Consider the following 21,998-nt stretch of genomic DNA (forward strand, 5'->3'; position numbering starts at 1 on the left):
CTCCACCCGTCTCCCCCTCCGTCCTCCCCACCTGTCCTCCTCACCTGTCCTCCCTACTGGTCCTCCCCCCATCCTCCCCACCTGTCCTCCCCACCTGTCCTCCCCACCGGTCCTCCGTACCAGTCCTCCCCCATCCTCTCCAGCTGTCCTCCCCACGTGTCCTCCCCACCTGTCCTCTCCACCCGTCTCCCCCTCCGTCCTCCCCACCTGTCCTCCTCACCTGTCCTCCCTACTGGTCCTCCCCCCATCCTCTCCACCTGTCCTCCCCACCTGTCCTCCCCACCTGTCCTCCCCACCGGTCCTCCGTACCGGTCCTCCCCCCATCCTCTCCAGCTGTCCTCCCCACCTGTCCTCTCCACCTGTCCTCCCCACCTGTCCTCCCTACCTACCTGTCTTCTCCACCGATCCTCCCCACCATCCTCCCCACCTGTCCTCCCCACTGGTCCTCCCTACCGGTCCTCCCACTACATAATGGGCCACACCTTCTCAGTGTCTCTCCATGGCTCTTTTGCCTTTTCCTCACCCAGGAGGGCCTGGGTTAAGCCCCATCTACACCCCTCCCCAGGATCCTCCCAGTCCAGTGCCTTTATTTTATTTATTTATATTTTTTATTTTTATTTTTTTGAGACAAAGTCTCACTCTGTTGCCCAGACTGGAGTGCAATGTCGCAATCTCAGCTCACTGCAACCTCCGCCTCGCAGGTTCAAGTGATTCTCCTGCCTCAGCCTCCCAAGAAGCTGGGATTACAGATGTGTGCCACCACGCCTGGCTAATTTTTGTATTTTTAGTAGAGATGAGGTTTCACCATGTTGGCCAGGCTGGTCTCAAACTCCTGACCTCAGGTGAACCGCCCGCCTTGGCCTCCTGAAGTGCTGGGATTACAGGCGTGAGCCACTGTGCCCGGCCGACAGTCCAGTCCCTTTAAATGCCATTCCTATGGTGATAGCCCCACATGCGTCTACCCAGCTCTGACCTCTCTGATCTCCATCCTGCGATCCTCTGACCTCCACCCTGCGATCCAGATGTTTGTCCGCCCACTCAGCACCTCAGCGTCTCAACAGCTTACAGGCTGAATCGGACAATTGCCAACAGCTCACAGCAGCACGTCCATGCCGGAAACCTGACCTCCCCCGTCTTCCCATTCCTTAAATAGCCCCCATTCTCCATCTGGCTCTGCCAACCCCGTGACACCCTCCTGGGCACCCTGCCACACTGTGTTCTGCCAGGTTCCCTGGGTCCAGCGTGTAGCTCATTCCCACCCCAGGGCCTTTGTACTCGCCATTCCCTAACCTGTAATGCCCGCCCTGCACCGAGCTATTCTCAGGGTCCCCACCCTCACTGTATTCAGCCTCAGCTCATGTGTCCCCTCCTCAGGGTCCTGCCCTCCCCCACACCTGCTCCCCACTGTTCCCAGTCCCTTACTTGTTCGATTTGCTGTGTAGAAACTATATTCATGTTCACTAATGAGTTGTCAGTTTCCCTTCCTGGAATTGGAAGCTCCACTAAACCAGTGGAGCATTGAGCATCAAAAGAGGTCTCACCAAGGTCTCCAGTGACCTCTGTGTTGCCAAACCCACTCCATTCTCGAGGGGCACTGTACTGCCTTCTCCTCATCCCTTCCGGGAGCAACCCCTCCCCACCACCACTGCCGTCCTCCCAACCTGTCTTCCCAACACACCAGGGGCCGCACGATGAACAAGATGGTGCTCCATCTTGTTTACGTCTAGGTTCAAGGTGAGTTGTTGAATGAGTGAGAAACTGGAGCTGGTGGACACAGGTGAGACATCCAGCGTGGCTTGGGGACATTTGGGGGACGGCAACGTGTTGGGACATTGTCTCCTGAAGCAGGACAAAGACCCTTTGTCCCCAGCTTTGGTGAGATGATTCGAGTGCTTAGTGACTCAGTGACTTACCTGAGAGTTGGCGGGTCAGGGGGTGGCGCTGTCACTGGCACAGGAAAGGAGGACGGTGTAGGGCATGAGGAGTGGCCTCTGCGTCCACGGAGCCTGTGCTTTCCGACTGCAGGAAGAGCGACGCAGAGCTGAGGCGTGGGCAAGAGCTCCTGAGGCTGGGCTGGGTGGGCATTCCCTGGGAAAGAACTTTCTGAGCTGGGGATGTGAAGGATGCACCACAAGGGGTGGGTCCTGGGCCCTGGAAGCCTCCAGGGGAAACGTCCCTGTCCCTGTCCCTGAGCTGAGGCCCAGCTGCCTGGGAGCTCAGGGAGACTGGCTACCCAGCATGCTGCCTGGAGGAGGAGTGGCAGGGCTGCCTTGTGGGGCTGGGGGCTCAGCCAAGCATGCGTGATGGCTGCAGAGAATTTCTACTGGTCCCCTTCCAGGATTGGGTCTCCCGGCGTGGGTTTTGAGAAAAACGAATCTGACTCTGGGGCTCAGGCCCAAGGTGTCAGGGCTCACGGCCCCGTACAGCGGGGCGCCCGGGGCTGAGGATTGTTTGGTGGGGGGTGCACTGATCAGTTCTTGTCCCCTGGTGACTGTGCCCCTGGCCAGCGACCTGGCCTCCCTGAGCCCTGGAGTAGGGTCTCACTTCAAATGCTGGCCGGAGCCTGCTGCCACTGAGTGCTTTAAGCAGCAGTCAGAGAGGTGGGGGCGGGGCACAGAGGCAGGGAAGACCCCCACTCGATGTATGCCAGGGTGCACACTAATGGGCCTAGAGACGAGGATCCCAGGTTCCCATGGACAAAATGGTGGCCATCTCCTGGCGCCCCTGAGCTGCCGGCAGTGGAGACGGTGGGTGGCCCCTACACCAGCCTTTCTTCATGAGGCATTTCCAGTCTCTCCTGCCCTTGAGCAAGTTCCAGTGAACACGTGTTGCTTGCTAGGACCTGGATCCCCTGGTCCTAACTCTAACCCTAACCCTAACCCTAACCCTACAGCAAGTCCAGCCCAAGTCTAGTCCAAGCCCAGGGAGCCATCTGAGGACTAACAGAGTGGCCAATTCTTACAGACACTCAAGGAAACCAACCACATCTCCAGATGCCGACTGCAATCGCCAGGACTGCCTAAAATGAAGGACATTTACACACTCGGAGAGGGGCAGCTGCGTGGACTCAGGGTGCAGAACTGCTCATCAAACTTATTGTTTGAGCATCGGCGGGGGAAGACTTTGTCATCAACAGAGCCCAGGCTGGGGAGGGGGCTTGTGAGTCCCTGGTACAAACCTCATCTCCGAGAGGCCCCGGGAATGGAGGCTGGTGGCTGGGGTTCCAGGCTGTCCGCTGTGACCATGGCCCTGGCGCTGAAGGGCCACAGCCCCCAGGGTGGCCCCAGTTGCTGCCTCCGCCGCAGAGGCTCCCCAGCAGCCAGAATGAGCACCCCCAGTGGATTTGGAAACCGAGTCTCAGTGCCCTCCCAGTTTCTTCATCATGTCACCCATGAACACATTGCAATCATCATTCATGGGGCCAAAATGCTCTGCTGGGGTCAAAGCAGCCCCAGCAAATGCTGACTCTCCGCTTTCCTTTGTCTCCTTTAGACACAGCCAGAACACTCTCTGCCAACTCTCTTCTGAAAACCTGTTTGGGAAATTATTTGGCAAGGGAAGTCTTGGCACACACTGGGGGACAAGCAGGGCGAAGAGCTCAGAACCTCGGCTCCCAGGTCCACAGCAACTGGGTGTGTTACTCGGGCCCTGGACCTCCCACACCAGTGTGGCAGGGTCTCTACGCACTAGAGGGGCCCCCGAGGGACCTCTCCTGGCCACGTTGGAGCCAGTTCGTCCCGCTGGTTGGAGATTTCCAGTTCCCCTCTGAGTTCTGGCCCATCAGCCTTTCTGCCACAAACCAACCCAACCACGTGGACGGTGTGTGGCCAACTAGGCCGCAGCTCCACGGAGGCCTCCCTTGCTGGGGGTGCTGGGGCTGGAGCTGCCTGAACTTGGCAGGGCTAGGCCCATGGGGCCCTATGGATTAGCAGAAGTGAGCCAGAGCCGCTGCCCAGCGGCCTCCAAGGCTGCAGGGGGTGGGGGGCTGAGACTCGGGTTGGTGGCTGGAGAGAAGTCCAGGCGGTGGAGCCGGGAGCCAGGGGCTCACCCTTCTCCTCAGGAGGAGAGCTCGGGTGGCTTGTGCCGAGAGGTGGGGTGCTGGGGCATTCCCTGAGCTCCATGCCACTGCCTTACTTATTGTGCCTCACTGAAAACATACCACATCCTCGTAGCATAGGCACCCATTTTACAGATGGGGAAACTGAGGCCAAGAGATGCCATCACTTATGAGCTGCTCATCAGCAGAGTCTGGCCTCCAGATCTAACGCCTCCTCCCTGGCCTTTTAGCTGCTGTGGAGAAAGAAGGCAGAGGGTAGCCCACAGGGGAGGCCCCAAGAGAGGAGTGATGGCGACTCAGGGCTGGGAGATGGGGCTGCCATTGGAGGCACCCTGGAGTGGAAAGGAGGGTTGAGGTCAGAACGGGGAGGGTGTAAGTCTCTCCCACCCTCCCTGCCCCCCTGCACCTGAGGCTTGCTCTTCCCTGCTCCTACCCCCAAGAGCTTCACCCAAGCCTTGCACTCCTGCCCTCACTGGCTTCATACCCCAAGTCCACCTGGCTGGGGTTGTGGAGGAGGCCACATGGCACGGCCACTGTGGGCAGCAATGTCATTGTCCTTCCAGGACCCTTAGAAGCCACAATCCCACTGCCCTCTGGCCTGGCAAGGGTGTGACTGCCCCCAGCCCCTGCAAAGGGGATGACATGTCTCATTTGTTGCTGTTGGCACCATGGCAGGAATTGTCAAGGGTGACTTATTCAGGACCAAATGCACAGCCCAGTGGATGCTGCCAAGACCTTGCATTCATCTGCTGATTGGAGGCGGTGGCGTTTAAGACCCACTTTATAAATCACGCCTGTGTGCACATGGGGGATGATTAAAAACCCCACAGGGCTTTGAACAACCATGAATACATAGGGCAAGGGCAGCTGGTGCCCTTGCAGATTGGTGGAGGATGTGCCCTCTGGGGTGGGCGAGGGGCAGTGTTTGCAGCTGTAATAGTCTTCAGGGGCTTTCTGTCCTATGACCTTTGTTGAGCACCTACTATGTGTCAGGTATCACGAGAGCCAGTGTGGGGTGGTGTCAAAACCTGGGGCTCAAACTCCAGGGCTGCCTCTAGCTCCCAAGTAATCAAACTCAAGTAATTTCACCTGTTTGGGCCTCATTCTCCTAACCAAGGGAGACCATCTGACTCACCAGTAGGAGTTATGAGGGGAGGTGTAGATAGAGCAGCCGGCTCAGCCAGGCCCTGGGGAGCATGTGGTAAAGGGAATTCCCTCACCTCCTGGCCCCCATTTCCTCCCTTCTTGGGCCAGTGGAGCATGTGAGAACCTGGTCTCTGCCTCAACTACAGGGTGGTCCCTCTGCAACTCCAGGAGTGGCCTGGTAGGTCAGCATTTTTCACTACCTACTGCATGCAGGTTGTGTGCAACATGCTGGGAACAAGAACGAGGAGGATACACAGATAAGGGTTCTAGGGCTCATCGTCTCTGGGGACAGGGATTGAACCATCCAAGCCTTCTTGTAGAAGTGAGGGTGTCTGTGGTACTGAGTGAGGGGCCCCTGAGGGGATAAGGAGGGACATGGGATGTGAGTAGTGGTAGACAGGGCCAGGTGGGGTGCCAATTTAACCCTTCATGCCTCAATATTCCCATCATGGAAAAGGGACCTTTCGTCACTTTCTAAAAAGGAACAGGAAGTAGTAGGAAAACCAGAAAGTGGAAGGTGGGACCTGTCTGACTTCAGGTCAGACAGTAGCTCGGCTGCCTCTGCCTCCCCTAGTGGCATCTGAGGGCGTCAGTGGAGTGCTGCTGTGTGTCCTCTGTCCACATGGCCCCTGCTGCTGGGCTGTCACTTGGCCCCTGCTGCTGGGCTGTCACTCAGCCCCTGCTGAGTGGGGTTGCTGTGAGAATTACAATATTGAAAAGCTTGTCCTCTGGGAAGAGCATTGTGCCCACTGGCTATTACCAGTGTGCATTTTGTTTTCCCTCATCCTGACCTCAGAGTGGGGCTGCCTGTTCTGACCTCAGAGTGGGGCTGCCTGCTCCTGCCTGCCCAGGATGCTGATAAGGGGACACTCGGCTCAGGGAGTGGAAGCTTGGCCTGGAGGTTCCCAAGACTGGGACAAGAGGGTCTGATCCATCTGGGGAGGGGCCCTTCCTTCCAGAATCCCAGGGGAGGTCCAGGAGGGGCCAGTGGAGAACAGAGCAGAGCCAAGAGAGAGCAAAGGTTCCCAGGCAGTTTCCCTCAGGGAGCCCACCTGGTTTCCAGCTGGCTCCATCCACTGGTTCTGGACTATGTGGGCGGGAGGAGCCCAACAGAAGGGGCTCAGGCTGGGAGAAGACTCAGCCCCGGGACAGAATCCTAGGCCTGGGGGAGGGGAAGCAGTGACAGGGCCATCCTATCTGAATTCTCCCCACCCTCATCTCCTAGGTCTGCTGGGCAATGCCTCCTGCACCTCTGGGGAGGGGTGGGGCAGTACAGGAAGACCCCTCTCCCAACTTGGGAGAGTGATGGGCAGCCCCCAGCCCCGCCCCATATCCGTCAGCTCTTGGTTCAAGGCTGGGGTCAGCCTGAGGTCGCAATGCCTTTGTGTGTGTCTGTGAGGGGGTGGCCCCTCTGTGGGCCTTTCACGTGGCTGTAGACCCTGCTGGCTTTTCAGCCAGGGCCCTGGAGGGAAGGAGGGCTGTGAGCCCCCAGATGCTCCGACACGGCCCAGGCACTATTCATCAGAGCCGATTTGTCAAACGGGTTTGGAGGCAGCTGCAGACAGTGAGGGGAGGGCTGGCCTCATGGGCTCTGCCTGGGCAGGTGCTGGCCGAGAAGTGCCAGCCCCAGGAGCTGAGCAGGGTTTTGGGGTGGACAAGGTTTCTTGACTTTGGACTTGGGACACGTGGGAGAAGGGTCCTGGCCTGGCTGTCTTTACACAAGAGCCTGGGGCTTGAGTAGCAGAGGGGAGGCCCGCCAGGGGCTGTCCCATCCTGTGCAGTGTGGCCTGGGGTGAGTCACCTCGGTTTCCATTGGAAGAGGGGCTGCGTGATAGCCCAACAGCAGGGGCCTTGTGGACAGGGGACACACAGCAGTGCTCCATTGACGCCCTCAGATGCCACTAGGGGAGGCGGAGGTGGCTGAGCTACTGGAGATGGGGAGACTGAGGCCCCAGTGGGAGCTCAGGTGGGGGGGGTCCCTTTGTCCTGTGAGAGCCCCTCCCCTCCCCAGCTGAGGCCCCAGCCTCCTTATCACAGGTTGTACCCAGGGTCACCTGGGGTGGGGATTTCTTTGTCCCTTTGGGGTCCTCAGGCTCTGTTGTCAGGGAGCCAGCATGGACGGATGGCCCGTCGTAGGGGGCAGGTGGCCTGAAGCCAGTGAGGACAGACAGACGGACAGCAGCACACCAGAGCTCCTGCCCAGCCACCCTGCCCTCGTGCCAGCCTCCCTCACTTCCCTAACTCCTGATTTTTCATCAAAACAGCACACAGGCTTTCAGCCTGTCCAAGGTCACGGGGCTGCAAGGGGAGCTGAATGAGGCCATTACATTGGCTTCTAATGTCCCTGTGGCCGCAGCTCAAAAGCTGCCTCGATCAAGCACCCGGGACATTCCAATTTCCGCCTGTCCCGAAGCGATCGTATCAGGGCCTGAGTGATCTCCTCGCTGGCGGGCAGCGGAGATGCAAGGGCAGGCAGTCGGCCAGGAGCCCCCACCCACAAGGCCACCCCTGAGCCCAGCCATCCCCTCCCTCGGGAACAAAGGGAGTCTCGGGCCATGGCCGACAGGGCTGAGAAACAGCTGCATGCTGCCCGTAATCGTCTCCCTGAGTCCCACTCAGGCCCTGTGCTGGGGTTGGGCTCAGCTCATCACTAGCTGGCACCCTGTCATTCCATTCTTTTTCCCCTGGAGGGGCTGGGGGAAGGCAGGAGCAGCCCTCACATGCCACCCATGTGGGGAGGCGAGGGGGCTCAACGGCTCAGGGGCTCAGAGGGGCAGCAGCCCTCCTCGGGCGTCCTCAAGACCGCAGGCCTCTGTCACTCCCTTATAAACGGCCCAGGGTTCTAGGGAGTTGGCTGCAGCTGGGCCTCATAGCAGCCCCCAGCCTGCCAACTTTGGGCAGGAGCTTGGAGCCAGATGGCCTGGGGTTGAGAATGTGCTGGTGCCTGGGGGTCCCTGAGCCTCACCCCCGGGGATCTCCATGATCGCCCGGATGTCAGCGCACAGCCGCTCATTTGTAAAGATCTTTGTTCCCGAGCTGGTGGCTGTGGGATGAGAAACCAGTTTTTAGAACCTGACTAAGCAAAAACAGGAAACAACCCAGATGTCCCTCAGCTGGGGCTGAATAAACAGGCTGAGGCCCACCCCTGCAATGGAATACTACTCGGTGACAAAAAGGCGTGCATCGCCGGAGCTGCCCCGCTGATGCTGCCTCCCGAGGCTGTGCTAGTCGGGTTCTGCTGTCGGCACAGAGCTCAGGCTGCTGTTGCCAGGGCCGTGGGGCTCCTTGTGGGGATGGAGTGTGCTATATCTTGATTATGGTCACAGTTACGTGACCGCATGCATTGGTCAAACCTCCCAGAGCTGTGGATGAAGAAGCGGCGTTTTCCTGTATGTAATGTGCTGTATGTAAATAAAACACTGGAAAGGGCTCTTTCTTTGCACGCGACACAGACAGCAGCCTGCAACGGGCCCAGCTGGGCTCTGCTGAGAAAGCAGAGGCGGCTCCACGCTCACCGTGACAGCCGGGAGAGGACCTCACGCCGTTTGTCCCTTCATCCCTCGCTGGGCCTGGAGCCCAGGAAGGGCTCTCAGGATGGGGGTCTTCTCTCACAGGCCTGGCTGCCCGTGGACAACAGTGGGGCCCTCCCCAGCACTTGCCTGGCCTGGGGGAGAGTGGCCAGCGGGGCGGGCCTCGAGGGGGGACTGGGAGGTGTCCTTGGGCTGAAAGGCAGGACTCTTGTCAGGAGGAGCCCTGCTTCCATTGACATAACAGCTGGGGAAGTGTCACCAAACTCACAAACAAGCCAACACCAAAAAGGTTAAGCCATGTGGGGGAGGGCGAACAGAGGGCGAGGAGTGGCACCTCAGAGCCGCTCAGCCCCTCGGCTTCTCTCTCGTTCTAGCCAGATGCCTTCAAAGGTCGTTGGCTAAGTAAGCATTGGGACTCCCATTTCCTCCTGCACGGCAGCAACAGAGATTCCAGGACTGCTCCGGAGAAGGGCCGGCTCCCTCCTTTCCTGCAGACTGGCTCCCAGCCTCTCCCCCAGGGCCTCCCACAGCCCTCTGCGGGAATTACCTGCAGGTAAAGCAGCCTCTATGTGTCCTCTCCTCCCTGAGAATCTCGGGCCTTTGCCATGGCCCTGGTAACACACAACTACTACGTACGCTGGGGCCCTATTATCCTATTGGCCAATTATCCTATCGGCCACATTAGATTGGCCACCTGTAACTGAGTTACTTTCCCTGACAACGGAGGAATGGGGAGCCCCGGGTAGGCTGTCCCAAGGAGGCGCAGGCTTTCAGCTCCTATACCCTTCAGGTCAGGAGAACTGGAGGGAGAATGAAGGAATGAAGGCAGCCATTCCCAATGTCTGTGGATGGCTTTGGGCCGTCTCATCATTCCCATTTCGCTGATGAGAAAACGGAGGCTGAGAGCGCCCAGATAACCTCCTTGATGGGACTGAATGCATCCGGCCCGGGGACTCCTAACCTCAGCTGCTCTGGAGAATGCCCCCAGCCCAACCCAGGCTGCTCCTGGACCACATATATCAGTATCCTGGGGTGCAGCCTGGGCACCAGCATTTTGTAATGCTCCCAGGTGAGGGGCATCCTGGGCCACTGACGACCCCTCATCCTCACCCTCCTCAGGCCAGGGGCACTCCCTGTACCATCTGAAAAGAAAATCATAGCTGAGAGATAACTCACCTCACACACAATTTTGCAAGAGTCAATATAACGCCCTGTTATATGGAGGAGGAATTAAAGGGAAATTGTATGATAAAATCATATGTTTTTCAATATGTAAAGGCCTGGCTCTGTCTCCAAGGGGAGCCCAGAAGCCCCCCCGAGGCATGCCTGTGTCATCTTATCCCCGTGCCAGCCCCCATGGCTGATGCGGACGGGCCAGGCCTGGCGTTCCAGACTCCAGCAGCTGAGCATGTACCTGTGATGTGACTTTCCCAGGTGGTCAAGTTCCAAACGCAGCAACGTGTCCTCCCTTCAATGGACACAGGAGATGCTTTCCTGGAAAAGCCAGCGAGGATTAACTGTGCAGCAAAGATCCCCAGGATATATTTTCTAAGGTTCTAGCTCAGGTAATTATAAGCAGCCTCTTTGCTTACCTGAACGTCTGGCAAGACCAGGGACAGAGTTACCTGCAGGGCTGGCCTGTGTATTTACTGAAGGTCATTGTGACAACTCAAAACAGCCCTTCCTGAAGTTCCAAAATGCCCCTTGGGAGGGGAGCCACCTAGTGTTCAGCCATTTTGATGTGTCCTGGTGACAACAGACACTCTGGGGACAGGAGGAGCTTGCAGGAGGGTTACTTGCTGCAGGGCCTGGTGGGCCACCCATGTAAAGCTTGCAGCCATCAGTGTCTGGAGGGCTGGAGAGGGGTCAGGGTGGCAGGGACATCCCACAGAGAGGCCAGGGTGGGACCAGTGTGAGGAGAGAGGCAGAAATGATGTTTTAATGCAATGTTTTAAATAAAGTTAATGCAAAATGAATGCAAGATATCTATGAGGAAGGAAATATTGAAGTTTTGGAGGAAAAGGGTCGGTGGTCCTGACGTTCCCTTTTGCCCCAGGCTCTGGGGCCAGGCAGGGCGCTGCCGGACACTGGTCTCTGATGGCCTCTCTCCATGGTAGAGGCCTCCTTGGCTCAGGGTGGTGGAAACCCGGTCTTCTGTGCATCTGCAAGATCACATCTGGGTGATCAGTAGCTCCCCACAGATGGCTGCAGGGCTGTGGGGCTTGGGCAGAGCCCTCACAAGGTGGCTGTGCTAGGCTGGGTGTGGCTGACCCACTTGGGGTGCTTTGCAGCCTTGAGGCCCCTTCAGGCAGGCACAGAGGTGGGAGCCACTGGAGGGTGCCCTGTGGGGCACAGGTGTCAGGCGGTCTGGGCTGGCAGTTCTCAGCCCAGCCGGACACATGAGGCTGGTTCTTTTTTTTTTTTTGAGACAGAGTCTCACTCTGTCGCCCAGGCTGGAGTGCAGTGGTGCAATCTCCACTCACTGCAAGCTCGGCTCCTGGGTTCACGCCATTCTCCTGCCTCAGCCTCCCGAGTAGCTGGGACTGCAGGCGCCCACCACCACACCTGGCTAATTTGTTGTATTTTTAGTAGAGACGGGGTTTCACCGTGTTAGCTGGGATCGTCTCGATCTCCTGACCTCGTGATCCGCCCGCCTCGGCCTCCCAAAGTGCTGGGATTACAGGCGTGAGCCACGGCGCCCGGCCCACTGGGATTGGTTCTAAGCATCCTCTGCCCGGGCCACACTCAGGCCAGTAAAATCCCAGTCTCTGGGGGTGGTGTCTGGGCAGGAATGTTTTAGAGTCTCTCCCCAGGTGACTCTACCATTCAGCAAGGATTGAGAGCCCTTGGGACCCACCTGACCTGCCTGCCTGAGTTTGGGTGACCATGCTTCTGTGTGGGCGGTGCCACTGCTGCCTGTCCCTTTCTCGGAGAGGCCTCACGGCCGAGGCGTGCGTTCTTTTTTCCCGGCACCGTCACCACCCGTGTTGTCCTCACTTGAAAGGTGGCCATTTGAGATCTACAGGACCGTGCCTAGTTCACAGATGGGGCGGCCACTAACATTCTTACGGTCTTCACCTTGCGCTAGAACTTTCCAGGTGTGTTCTTAAAGCTCTCAGGGGAGCCCTGGGCTGTCAGCACTCTCCTATTGCCCCATTTGACAGACCTGGAAGCCGAGGGGCAGAGGGCCCAAGTCTCTCGGCCCAGTCCCTGGCAGGACGAGGAGAGAGGGAGCTGGAACCCGGGTCTCCACACTCGCTCCAGCCCCTGCCCCACGTTCTCTCCCTTCAGGGTGAGACCTTTCTGTGCCCTTTCTACGTCACCTGGAGCCCGTGACGCCCGCTCATCTGTCTGGCTGGAATCGCCGCCTGGCCCCTCACCACGGTTATTGCCTTTCGTGCCGAGTTGCCCGGGTTTGCTGTGTTATTGGCTCGTTTTTCATTCTGCATCTGCAGTAGCCAGACTTGGAGATGAAAAGCATGTGGCGCCTAACCATGATGAAAGAGGGGCGCCTGCGAGTGCCTGAGCGTCTGAAAAGGACCTTTTAGAGGCGGAGGAGCAGAGGAGGAGAGTGACTGCGGGCTCAGCTGGCCCCGTGGCCCCGTGGCCCCGTGGTCTGGATGGCGTGGCTGGAGTCTGGCCTCTCAGAGCCGAGGCTTCCCGAGCTGTGAGGCGAGAGAGAGAGAGAGATTCACCTTGCAGAGTTCTACGGCGCGGCACGGAGCGGCCATTCCATAAGCATCGTTGCCGTAGCTGTAATATGTTATCACTATAACGTATATCTATGAGTCATAAAATAATAGAACTATTTTATTTTGGAGATCTCTTAGAAAACATAAACAGGAGAAAGAACCATGAAATGGGTGACTTGAGAATAGCTTCCGCTCCGATATTCAATTACCCTTCCCGCTCTCTCCCCCTCTCTCTCCTTCTGCAATTTGATTATTTCGGGGCCCACAATGCACCTGTGCCAACATCCCTGGGCCTCTCCTGAGGGCGCACACGAGTGAAATAAACAGGCCTTGTCTGCGCCCTCTCTCTTTGGGAGTGTCGTGGGTATGGAGACCCCCTACAAAGTCATTTTATCTCTCAGGTTCGTGGGTGAGCAGGAGCGTTGGGGACACAGTGCCAGTCTGTGTACCCTGGTGGTGTTTTCCTCGTTCCGAGAGATTAAGTAACACGCACCAGGTTACAGAACAACCGAGGGGCAGGGCTAGGCTTCTAACTCAGGTGTCTGGAACACAGTGTTTTCCATTTCAATATTCAGTCGTCATTCAACAAACAGTGATCACATGGGTTCCAGGGCGCTATGCGTGGGGGGCTGGGTGAGTAAGAACCCGGTCCCATGGCAGCCGCATTGTGGTGGGAGAGTGAGAAAATAAACATAGGCCAGGCAAAGGCCCAGGATAACTTCAACGCCACCGAGGGCTTTGGGAAGAGGCCCCAAGGGGATGTGTCAATGGCGATGGGGTCTGATACGCAGGGTGGGCAGCAGAGGGCTCCGGGGGAAGGCAGGGCCGCAGACACCTGCTGCTGTCTCGACAGCTTGTGAAGTTTCCATGTGGGCTCATGATTTGGGGAAATTTGTCCCTTGTTGTAGCTACAGATGAGAATAGGATGAGGGTGCCAGCTATTGGTCAGTTTGCCACTGGCCACCGTCTAGCCCTGCCCTTCAGTGGCTAGACCCTCACCAGAGACTTGGGTGCCAGGGACCCATGAGACCTGCCCCTTGCGGTATATGGGAATTCTGTACCTTCCTCCCAGTTTTGCTGTAAACCTAAACAGTTCTTAAAAAATAGAAAAAAAAAAAACAAACAACCCCACAGAACTCCACCCCACTAACTGGCCCCTTGGAGAAAATGGTGAGCCCACCCTGAGAAAAGGCCAGTGCTCTGGAAATCTCTCTTGTTCTGTTCATGAGGCATCATCATGGGTGGGAAAGAAATGCATAGATTTTCTGTGATATTTCTCTGCTTTTCCGGGGGGTAAGTACACCCCAAAGGGTATGTGTGCATTTGGAAGGTTTGCAGGTTCTGTGGCAGGCCTATTTCCTGCCAGTCAAGCAAGGTTCCCAATACTGGAGGCTTCCTCCAACCTGGTCCGAAACAAACGTGGTGAGTCCGTCACAGCGCAGCTCCTGGAGCCTCGGAACCCCCACAGCCCCGGCAGCCACTGAACTGCAATACCGGTCCCTCTGTGCTTCTCTCCTGGCTTCGCTCCACCTGTGCTCTGGCACCTGAGGTCTGTTGACAGTGTTGCCTCACCATGCATGGGTGCTGCCATGTGGCAGGAGGCAAAGGTCTCAGCATCTTTTTTTTTTTTTTTTTTTTTTGACAGTCTCGCTCTGTTGCCCAGGCTGGAGTGCAATGGCATGATCTCGGCTCACTGCCACCTCTGCCTCCCGGGTTCCAGCGATTCCCCTGCCTCAGCCTCTCGAGTAGCTGGGATTACAGGCACCCACCACCACGCCCAGCTAATTTTTGTAGTTTTAGTAGAGATGGGATTTCACCACGTTGGCCAGGCTTGTTTTGAACTTCTGACCTTAGGTGATCTACCCGCCTTGGCCTCCCAAAGTGTTGGGATTACGGGCGTGATCCGCTGCCTCGGCTAACATCTTTTTATCCTGTTACCGAGGTGGGCAAAAGCCCAGGAGGCCGGGACGGGGTGCAGCTGGTCAGCAGGGATGCTAATGGCTGAGAGGGATCCTGAGATCCACCTCACTGGTGGTCATGTGTGTCTGGGACCCTCCTCTGTGGCCCTGGGCCATGGCAGACCTTCTCTCTGGACAAGTTGCTATGTACTGTGCAGCTCTGACTCACCGGGGGAAATTTGGAGTGGGAAGTTTGGGAGGGATCTGGAGAAGTCAGGAGGGGACAGCATAGCTGGAGGACAATGGGGAGAGGAGTAGGCCCCCTGCAAGCCTGGGCAGGTGGCAGCTCTGCCCCAGCCCCTGCAGGTTGGATCCCATGGCAGTCACTGTCTGGCATCCACGGCCAGCATACCTGAGAGCTTGTTCGAGCCGCCCTTAGCCGTTTATAACACATCCCCCCATCGATGATCTCCAGCTTAATTTAGCTCTTCCTGCAGCCCCAGGAGGCAGGCTTCGCCACTGCACTTCACAGATGCTCCAACCTGACCCCCCATCCTCCCGCCGGCCATAACCACTGGGCACTGGCCTGCCAGCCTCTGTGCTGCCACTGTCAGCTGGAGAGAGAGCCGATGGCTCCTGGCACAGCCTGGAGGGTTAAAGGAGGCACGGTGTCTGGGGCTGGCCCAGTGGGCATTCCGTGTATCATGCTTGTGTGTCTGAATTTCCTTCATTAAAGCATTTGTTTTTATTGAAGTGAAATTAACACAGCATAAAATTAACTATTTTAAAGTATACAATTCAGTGGCATTTAGTTCATTCAGAATGTTGTACAACTACTTCTATCTAGTTCCAAAACATTGTCACCATCCCCAAAAAGGAGACCTATACCCATGAGCAGTCAACTCCTCACTGTCCACCCCTCATCCCCCGAAGCCACCAATCTGCCCCTTCCCCTCCCCTCTTCTCTCCTCTCCTCTTCTCTCCTCTCCTTTCCTTTCATTTCCTTTCCTGACAGGGTCTCACTCTGTCACCCAGGCTGGAATACAGTGGTGCAATCTTGGCTCACTGCAGCCTCAACCTCCTGGGCTCCAGCGATCCTCCCATCTCAGCCTCTTGAGTAGCTGGGACCACAGACACACGCCACCACGCGTGGCTAATTCTTTTGTATTTGTGGAGATGGATTTTGCCATGTTGCCCAGGCTAGTCTCAAACTCCTGAGCTCAAGTGATCTGCTTGCCTTGGCCTCCCAAAGTGCTGGGATTACAGCCGCGAGCCACACATCACCTGGCCTGCTTTCTATTTCCAGGGATTTACTAGTTCTGGTTATTCCGTGTAAATGGAATCACACCAGACTGGCCTTTCATGTCCGGCTTCTTTCACTGAGCATGGTGTTTCCAGGGTTCATCGACATTGTGGCCTGTGTCAGTGCCTTGCTCCTTCTCATGGCTGAATCGCATTCCACAGCAGGGAGGAGGATGAGCCACATTCTGTTTATCCTTCATCCGGGGAAGGGCCTCTGGATGTTTCCATCTCTTGGTGGCGGTGAATGGCGCTGCTGTGAACCTGTGTGTATGTGGAGCTGCCTGGGTGCCAGTTTTCAATTTTCCTGGGCATACTGTAACCCTAGGGGTGGCACGCTGGGCGCTAGGCTGATTCTATGTCTAACTTTTTCAGGAACTGCCAAACTGTTTTTCTCAATCTCTCTCTTTTTGGTAACATGTCTCAAGTTCCAGCTACCGGCTGTTTTCCATACTTTATTTTATCCTCACGCTGACCCTACGATGTAGGCGCCAGTGTGGTTCTCATTTGAAAGACAAGGACGCTGAGGCTCTCCAAGGTCAGGGACTTGCTGGTGAGCATGGCAGGCAGAACCCCAGGCTCCGTTACTTCCATGTGCCTGCATTTTACACACCCCTGGGGCCCCGGCCTCTTCCCGGAGCCCTCGTCCCTTTGCTTCTGAAGTTTTAGCTTCCGAGGGTAAGTTCCTCAGGAGCTGGTGAGCTTGTGTCCTATTTCTTTGCACCCCTCCCCACCCCCGACCATGCACACAGTAGGTGCTTCATAAATTACCAGGGCATGACTGTTAATGGACTCTACCAGATTCTGGCTGATCCCCGGACATGGCCTTGGCCTGGATAGACTCAAATCTCTCAGCAGCCACCATGGGGGACCGGCGCCTGCTGTGGAGTTCGGTGAACTCTGGGTCAGCCCCAGTTTACTGAACCTTTTTCTGACTTAAAGGAAAACCATGTGCTTGGGAGAGGATGCTGCCAGGAGAGCCCGAATCTCTTACCTTTCTTCTGGAAAAAATAGATCATGTTTTTTCCTTCCTCCCGACCCCCCTCGCCCCGACCATAGCAGAGCAGATGTTAACTTTCCAATAAATGAGGGAAAAAAATAGATGAGAGGCATTTAGTAAACGACAGCTCTATCGCTGAGCAGGCTGGAGTTAGCACTCTGATTTCAACTGGGACTATAAAATTTTATGAGCTATTAAATTGTCCTAAACCTCCTTTACCACACAAACTCGAGTGTCTGAGATTACCCATTAAGAAAAAGTGGGTTACATCAGGAGAACTTTTACTACTTACACTCGTGTTCAATCAATAAAACTTTTAACTTGCCTTGGTGCTCCATGCAGAGCGAGGGCCCCAAGGTGGACGGGTGTCCTGGACAGGCCCCTGAACTTGGTGGAGCTGGACAGCAGGGCTTTCTGATGGGGTGGCTCACCTTTGAACTTCTGGAAGGTTCTGGCTTCTGCTTGGGGTCCCACGGTCATGACATGAATTGAGTAGCAGGTGCGGGCCCAGAGACCGGCATTGCCCACCCAGAACCCGGCAGGGAGCCCAGCAGCCAGGCTGAGGCCCGAGTGAACATGGGGACCTGAGCCCTCCCGAGAGGACAGTGCTGTCACCATCAATGCACTGAGAACCCAGTCACACACCAGCTTCTTAGGCCCCTCTCCTGTTTACAAGGCACTGAGGCCCAGGGAGGGCTCTGGCTGTCCAGGGCACGTGACTGATGAGCCATCAGCCTGACCCACCCCTGGGCACCAGTCTGGGGTGTTCCTGCCTCCCCATGTGAGGTGGGGGGCTTGGTGAGCCTGAGGCTGAGCGGGGCCCAGGAAAATCTGATTCTGAGGTGGAAGGCCCAGGGGAAGCCCCTGGATGGCGGACCCCTCACCAGGGCAGTGAGTGAGGAACTGGGGGTCCCTTAGGGGTGGGGGCCACCTCTGAGGTTGACCCTGCAGCCAAAGGACTGTTACAGGGAAGCAGCCCTCCCTAGACAGCTGTCCTGAGCCCTTGCAGAACGACACCTGCAGAAGTGCCTCCACCTGCAGAACCACATCTGCACAAGAGCCTCCCCCTGCAGAACCACACCTGCAGAAGCGCCTCCCCCTGCAGAACCACACCTGCAGAAGCGCCTCCCCCTGCAGAACCACACCTGCATAAGCGCCTCCCCCTTTTGAAGAGGCACAGGGAGGCTCAGGCCACAGTGAGTCTGTCTGACGGGGTGCTCTGCCCCCAGGGGTTGTTTGCCTGTGCCGGGTCCACTGCCCACTGGAACCAGGTGATCCGGGCTGGCCAGTCAGAAGGAGTCTGAGGCAGGAGATGCTGCTCTGCTGGGCAGTGGGAGGTGGGCAGGGGCAGAGCCTGGCTCTCCCTCAGAGCAAGGCAGATGGGTGCTCACAGGAGCAAACGCTGCGGCTCTGGGCTGTGGTCCTGGCCATGTCCTGTCACCTCCCCCAGCCTCAGTTTCCTCACCTGTAAGATGTGGTGATGACACTTGTTTCATGGTGGGTTCCTGGAGACGAGATGGGGTCATATCTAATGGTGCTTTATAAAGCGCTCAGTCATGGTGGGAAGACTAGGGAAAAATAGATTCTGTAGACAAAAGGAAAGACTGGTAAGTGACAGAGAGAGGAGTGGGGTTGGTTTTGCCCTTTGTTCGAGAGAGGAAAGTGGGGAAGTGGTGTTTAATGGTGGCCTGTCTGCATTGTGACCCGGAGGAGAAGCTAGGGTGTTTGAGACCGGAAGAGGATCATGAGCTTGGGGGCTTCCTGAGGTCGGAGCTGCATTGGTGGGAGCAGGTTTAAGACCTGTCCTGCTCCCCAAGGGCCCACCAAGCTGTGAGGAAGAGGGGGGTCCCCGCTCATGGCCCGACCCTGTGGGAGGGCTGCCAGGCCGCAAGCCACCCAGGAGTCTTTCCTGCTTCCTGGGGTCAAGCAGATGACCTTCCTGGGACCCTTCTGGAAACGAGAAATGGTCCAGCCCTGAGTCCAAAGCTCCATTCTGCCCCATGGCCCAGAGGAACCTGACATTTCAGCCCCTGCTCTGGGGCCATAGTCTCCCAAACCTTGGCAGCTCCAGGGGGGCTGGGAGGCAGGGGGCTGGGGAGTCGGTTCCACTGGGAGGCCTGGCCCCAGCAGCATCTGGAGGGCCGGTGGCGCGGGAATTTGAAACCGTTGCGACAGACCCGTTAGGCGATTCCTGTGGGGGAGACGTTGTCTGCTGGGAGCTGGGCTTTCACATCCACTGTTTGGATAAGCGCAGCCACGGCTCACTGTCACTGTTTATGTGGCCAGCCCCCATCTCCTCCTGAGCCCCTGGAGCGTGCGTGTCTCTTGGCCGCCCAGCCCCCTGCCTGTTGTGACATCCCGGGGTGGGAAGCTCCCAGACACCCTGGTGCCTCCTGGCTGGGAAAGGGCCGGGCTCAGAGGCCTCCTGGGGCAGCCCAGGTGGGATGGAGCTGGGTCAATTTGGATTTTGGGGTGTGTGTCGTGGCGGGGGAGGTCAGCATGCAGGGCTACACATCCAGGCCTGCTGTCTGAGAGTGCACTCTGCCAGACCCCAATTAGCCTGGTATGCAGGACAGTGACCTCCCGCCCGCCTGGTGATAGACCCTTGGGATCCACTCCCAGACCCCTCTCTGCCCTCGCCAGACAACTGCTGGAGTCCCACGACCCAGGAACGCTTCTGGGGGTCAGAGGGTGCTCAGCTCCCCAGTCGTAGCCCCTCACGGGGGAGGGGAGCAGAGACTTGCCTGCCGTCCAGACCCCAGGGATCTCAAACGAGTCCTGCCACCAACTCTCTAAGGGGCTGGTGGGGTCACTGTCCCCCTGAAGGCCTTGGTTCTGAGAAGGGAGGGGAGACTGGGGGAACTTGGAGGTGACATGGCAAGTGGGGCAGTGGAGGTTCACTCGGCTGATCCAAAGTCCAGAAGTCTTCCTTGGCCTGAAACTCCATGCCTTCAGCTACGGGGTGACTTCTAAGAGCCCCATATACATACTGATATGTGACCGAGAAAATTCACCCAGACCATCTTGGACATAGCTGCAGTGGGCAGGGGGATGGTGCTGGGGGGGTGAGTCATTGGAGGGGCAGGCACAGACTGGGGGGTACCTTGTGGTAAAGCTGAACGTCTTGGGGGTCTTTGGGAAGGGGCCCTGGGAGGAGGAGCTGTGACATCTGTTTTGGGAGCTGAGTTGGGAAAGGGTCAGCGCTGGGTGGTGGAGCCTGTGGATGGTGAGCTGAGATGCCTCAAAACCTTCACTGGGGTAAGTGGGGGCCCAGGAATGTTGTCAGGCAAGGGGATCGTGGGTTAGCCCCTGTCTTTTAGGAGTCTGTGATGAACTGGGGTAGGAGAGATGGGCATAGGGCCCTGAGCACTTAAATGACCACTCACCCTGTGAAAAAAGTCTTGGAGTCTTCCTCGGCCTCTGGGGAGTGGCGTCTCCTCTGGGTCACCTGTGGCGCTGCTCTCTGCCTTTTAGCTGGGTGGCTGTTTGATGGCTAAGAGGTCCTGCCCGCGTGCAGCCACATCAAACCTTAAGCCCAGGGGCACCCTGAAGCACCACACTCTGGGGCAGTGGAAGGCATTCGGTTGCCCAGAGCGTTGGAAGCTGCTCCTGGAGCACCAGCCCTGCGGAGGGAGCTCTGTCAGAGCTTCCCGAGGAAAGGGCCCTGGGGTCCGAGGTCTCAGGAATCCTGGTTCAGGTCCAACCCCATCTTTACCGAGAGACTTCCTGAGCCTTGATTTCGCACCTGCCTGGCCTCCTGCCAAGCCTGCTCAATATGCCTTGTTCTTCAAAATTTTGCCACTCCAGGACTTGTGCCACTCTGCCACTTGGGCAGGGACCCCCTTTGGGTGGGGTTAGCCTATGCCTGCCTTCACCTCCTGCGGGAGAGCAGGCAGGGAGGCCCCGGCTGTCTGGATGGGGGCTGGGAGGGAGAGTCTGGCTGTCCAGCGCTCCGAGGCTCAGCACCGAGACTACACAGCCTGCCTGAGCCTCCCAGCAGCCTGCGAGGTCCGTGCTGCAAGGGTGGGGGCTATACAGAGCAGGACACTGAGGCACACAGAGGTTCCCCCATCCAGGCGACTGCAGCCTCTCCCCAGCCTGGCCCTTCGCAGCCTTACTTACGGCCGCGGGCTGGAAGAGGGACAAACATGTACTTCCCACTCCCGCCCCCGGGTCTTGCGGCCTCTCTGGTGGCCTCTTTCCTTGATGGCCTGGGTCACCCCACCCCCTGCCCTTGGCTGCTCTGTCTTTGGGATGCCACTGGGTCCTGGGAGGGCCGTTCTGTTGTCGCCTCCCACCTCGCCCCTCTGGCTCAGCGCTCTCATTCTCCTCTCTCTCCCTCAGCAGCCCCCTGGGGGTCTTTGCCTAGAGAAATTTCCCCAGGATCCATCCACGCGTCAGTGTTCATTCTCATAGGCCCTGGCATCTGAGCACCCTACCCTTCTCCCCGCGGGTCCACCGCCTGAGCAAGGCCCGCCTTCTATAAGGCAAGGGTTCTGCTGGGTATTTGAGGCAAGGGGTGGGGGTTGCTGGAGTCCCACCCCGGGATGCTGGGGCCCCCTCCCCAAAGGGAGCACCTTCTCCTCCCTCTGCAGGGCGAATGCATGGCTTTGGGGAGGGACGCCAGCCTCACAAAGTCCTTCATGTCCAGTGTAATGGCTGAGGAGTTGACCACCCTGCCGGGGCCTTCTGAGGACGGGTGGGGCAGGACCTGGGGCTGTGCCCTGAGGCAGAAGGAACCCCTCTCACAGGTGCAGAGGGAGGAGCTCAGGTGCCGGCTGGGCCTGGCCAATGCCCACCCTGCCTCCTGTGCATGCCCAAGCACACCCCTGGCTCTCTGGCCGAACCCACCTCCCCTCTCCCTGCCACTCCACGCTGGGTCCCTGTCCCCCTTCCTCCTTTCTCCCCTTTTGTGGGGGGTTTAGCTGAGTCTTTGTCCCTGAGATTTAGCTCTTGGGACCCTGGGTTCAAAGCCCTGTCCCTTTACTGACTGTGTGACCTTGGATGAGTTTAGGTGACCTCACCTGGTGTCGTGGGGCCCAGCTCCTGGGCGATGGGGTCTGTGGCACCCAGCGACGGTAGGTCTAGGGTGCTGTGCAAGCACTGTGGGCTGAGGGACGGAGGGACAGCCAGTCCTGTCCTGTGAACACCTGGTCTGTGGGAGGAAGATGGTGTGGGCCAGGGGTTGGGTCCTACTGCTGTCTGGTTGGCATGGCTGTGCCACTTTCTCATCTCGTGGCTTCAGCCCACCCCCCACCGGCTGGAACAAGGCTCTCGTTGCCTTTTGGGAAGAGAGGTGCCCAGGTGTTAGGCCTCTGAGGGCCAGGACAGCGCTGGACACATGAAAGGGTCCTTACTGCATTCCTACCACCCGCA

The 21,998-nt window shown here is 57.7% G+C and overlaps 3 long non-coding RNA genes across 3 annotated transcripts, besides 1 other annotated feature; 1 reads left to right on the plus strand and 2 right to left on the minus strand.

Moving 5' to 3' along the window:
* Nucleotides 1-854: 854 nt before the first annotated feature.
* Nucleotides 855-11,148, minus strand: LOC107987137 (uncharacterized). The gene is made up of 3 exons (XR_001746962.2): nt 10,326-11,148; nt 9,281-10,227; nt 855-8,246 (listed from the first exon to the last, which is right to left on the minus strand). It is a non-coding gene; the product is annotated as an uncharacterized LOC107987137 (long non-coding RNA).
* Nucleotides 6,898-6,967: an enhancer, noted in NCBI's record as "active region_29274". NCBI's record gives its function as "activates an Ori minimal core promoter by ATAC-STARR-seq in GM12878 lymphoblastoid cells {active_cell/tissue: GM12878}" and the evidence as "EXISTENCE:reporter gene assay evidence [ECO:0000049][PMID:35858748]".
* A 409-nt stretch (nt 11,149-11,557) lies between the features above and the next one.
* LOC101928384 (uncharacterized) lies at nt 11,558-12,766 on the plus strand. Its single transcript, XR_244779.4, has 2 exons — nt 11,558-11,831; nt 12,025-12,766. It is a non-coding gene; the product is annotated as an uncharacterized LOC101928384 (long non-coding RNA).
* Nucleotides 12,767-15,551: 2,785 nt separating this feature from the next.
* Nucleotides 15,552-20,691, minus strand: LOC107987039 (uncharacterized). Its single transcript, XR_001746583.1, has 3 exons — nt 20,009-20,691; nt 18,088-18,207; nt 15,552-15,886 (listed from the first exon to the last, which is right to left on the minus strand). It is a non-coding gene; the product is annotated as an uncharacterized LOC107987039 (long non-coding RNA).
* Nucleotides 20,692-21,998: the final 1,307 nt, after the last annotated feature.

This window comes from Homo sapiens, chromosome 9 (assembly GCF_000001405.40).
Source record: "Homo sapiens chromosome 9, GRCh38.p14 Primary Assembly".
Taxonomy (NCBI): Eukaryota; Metazoa; Chordata; class Mammalia; order Primates; family Hominidae; genus Homo; species Homo sapiens.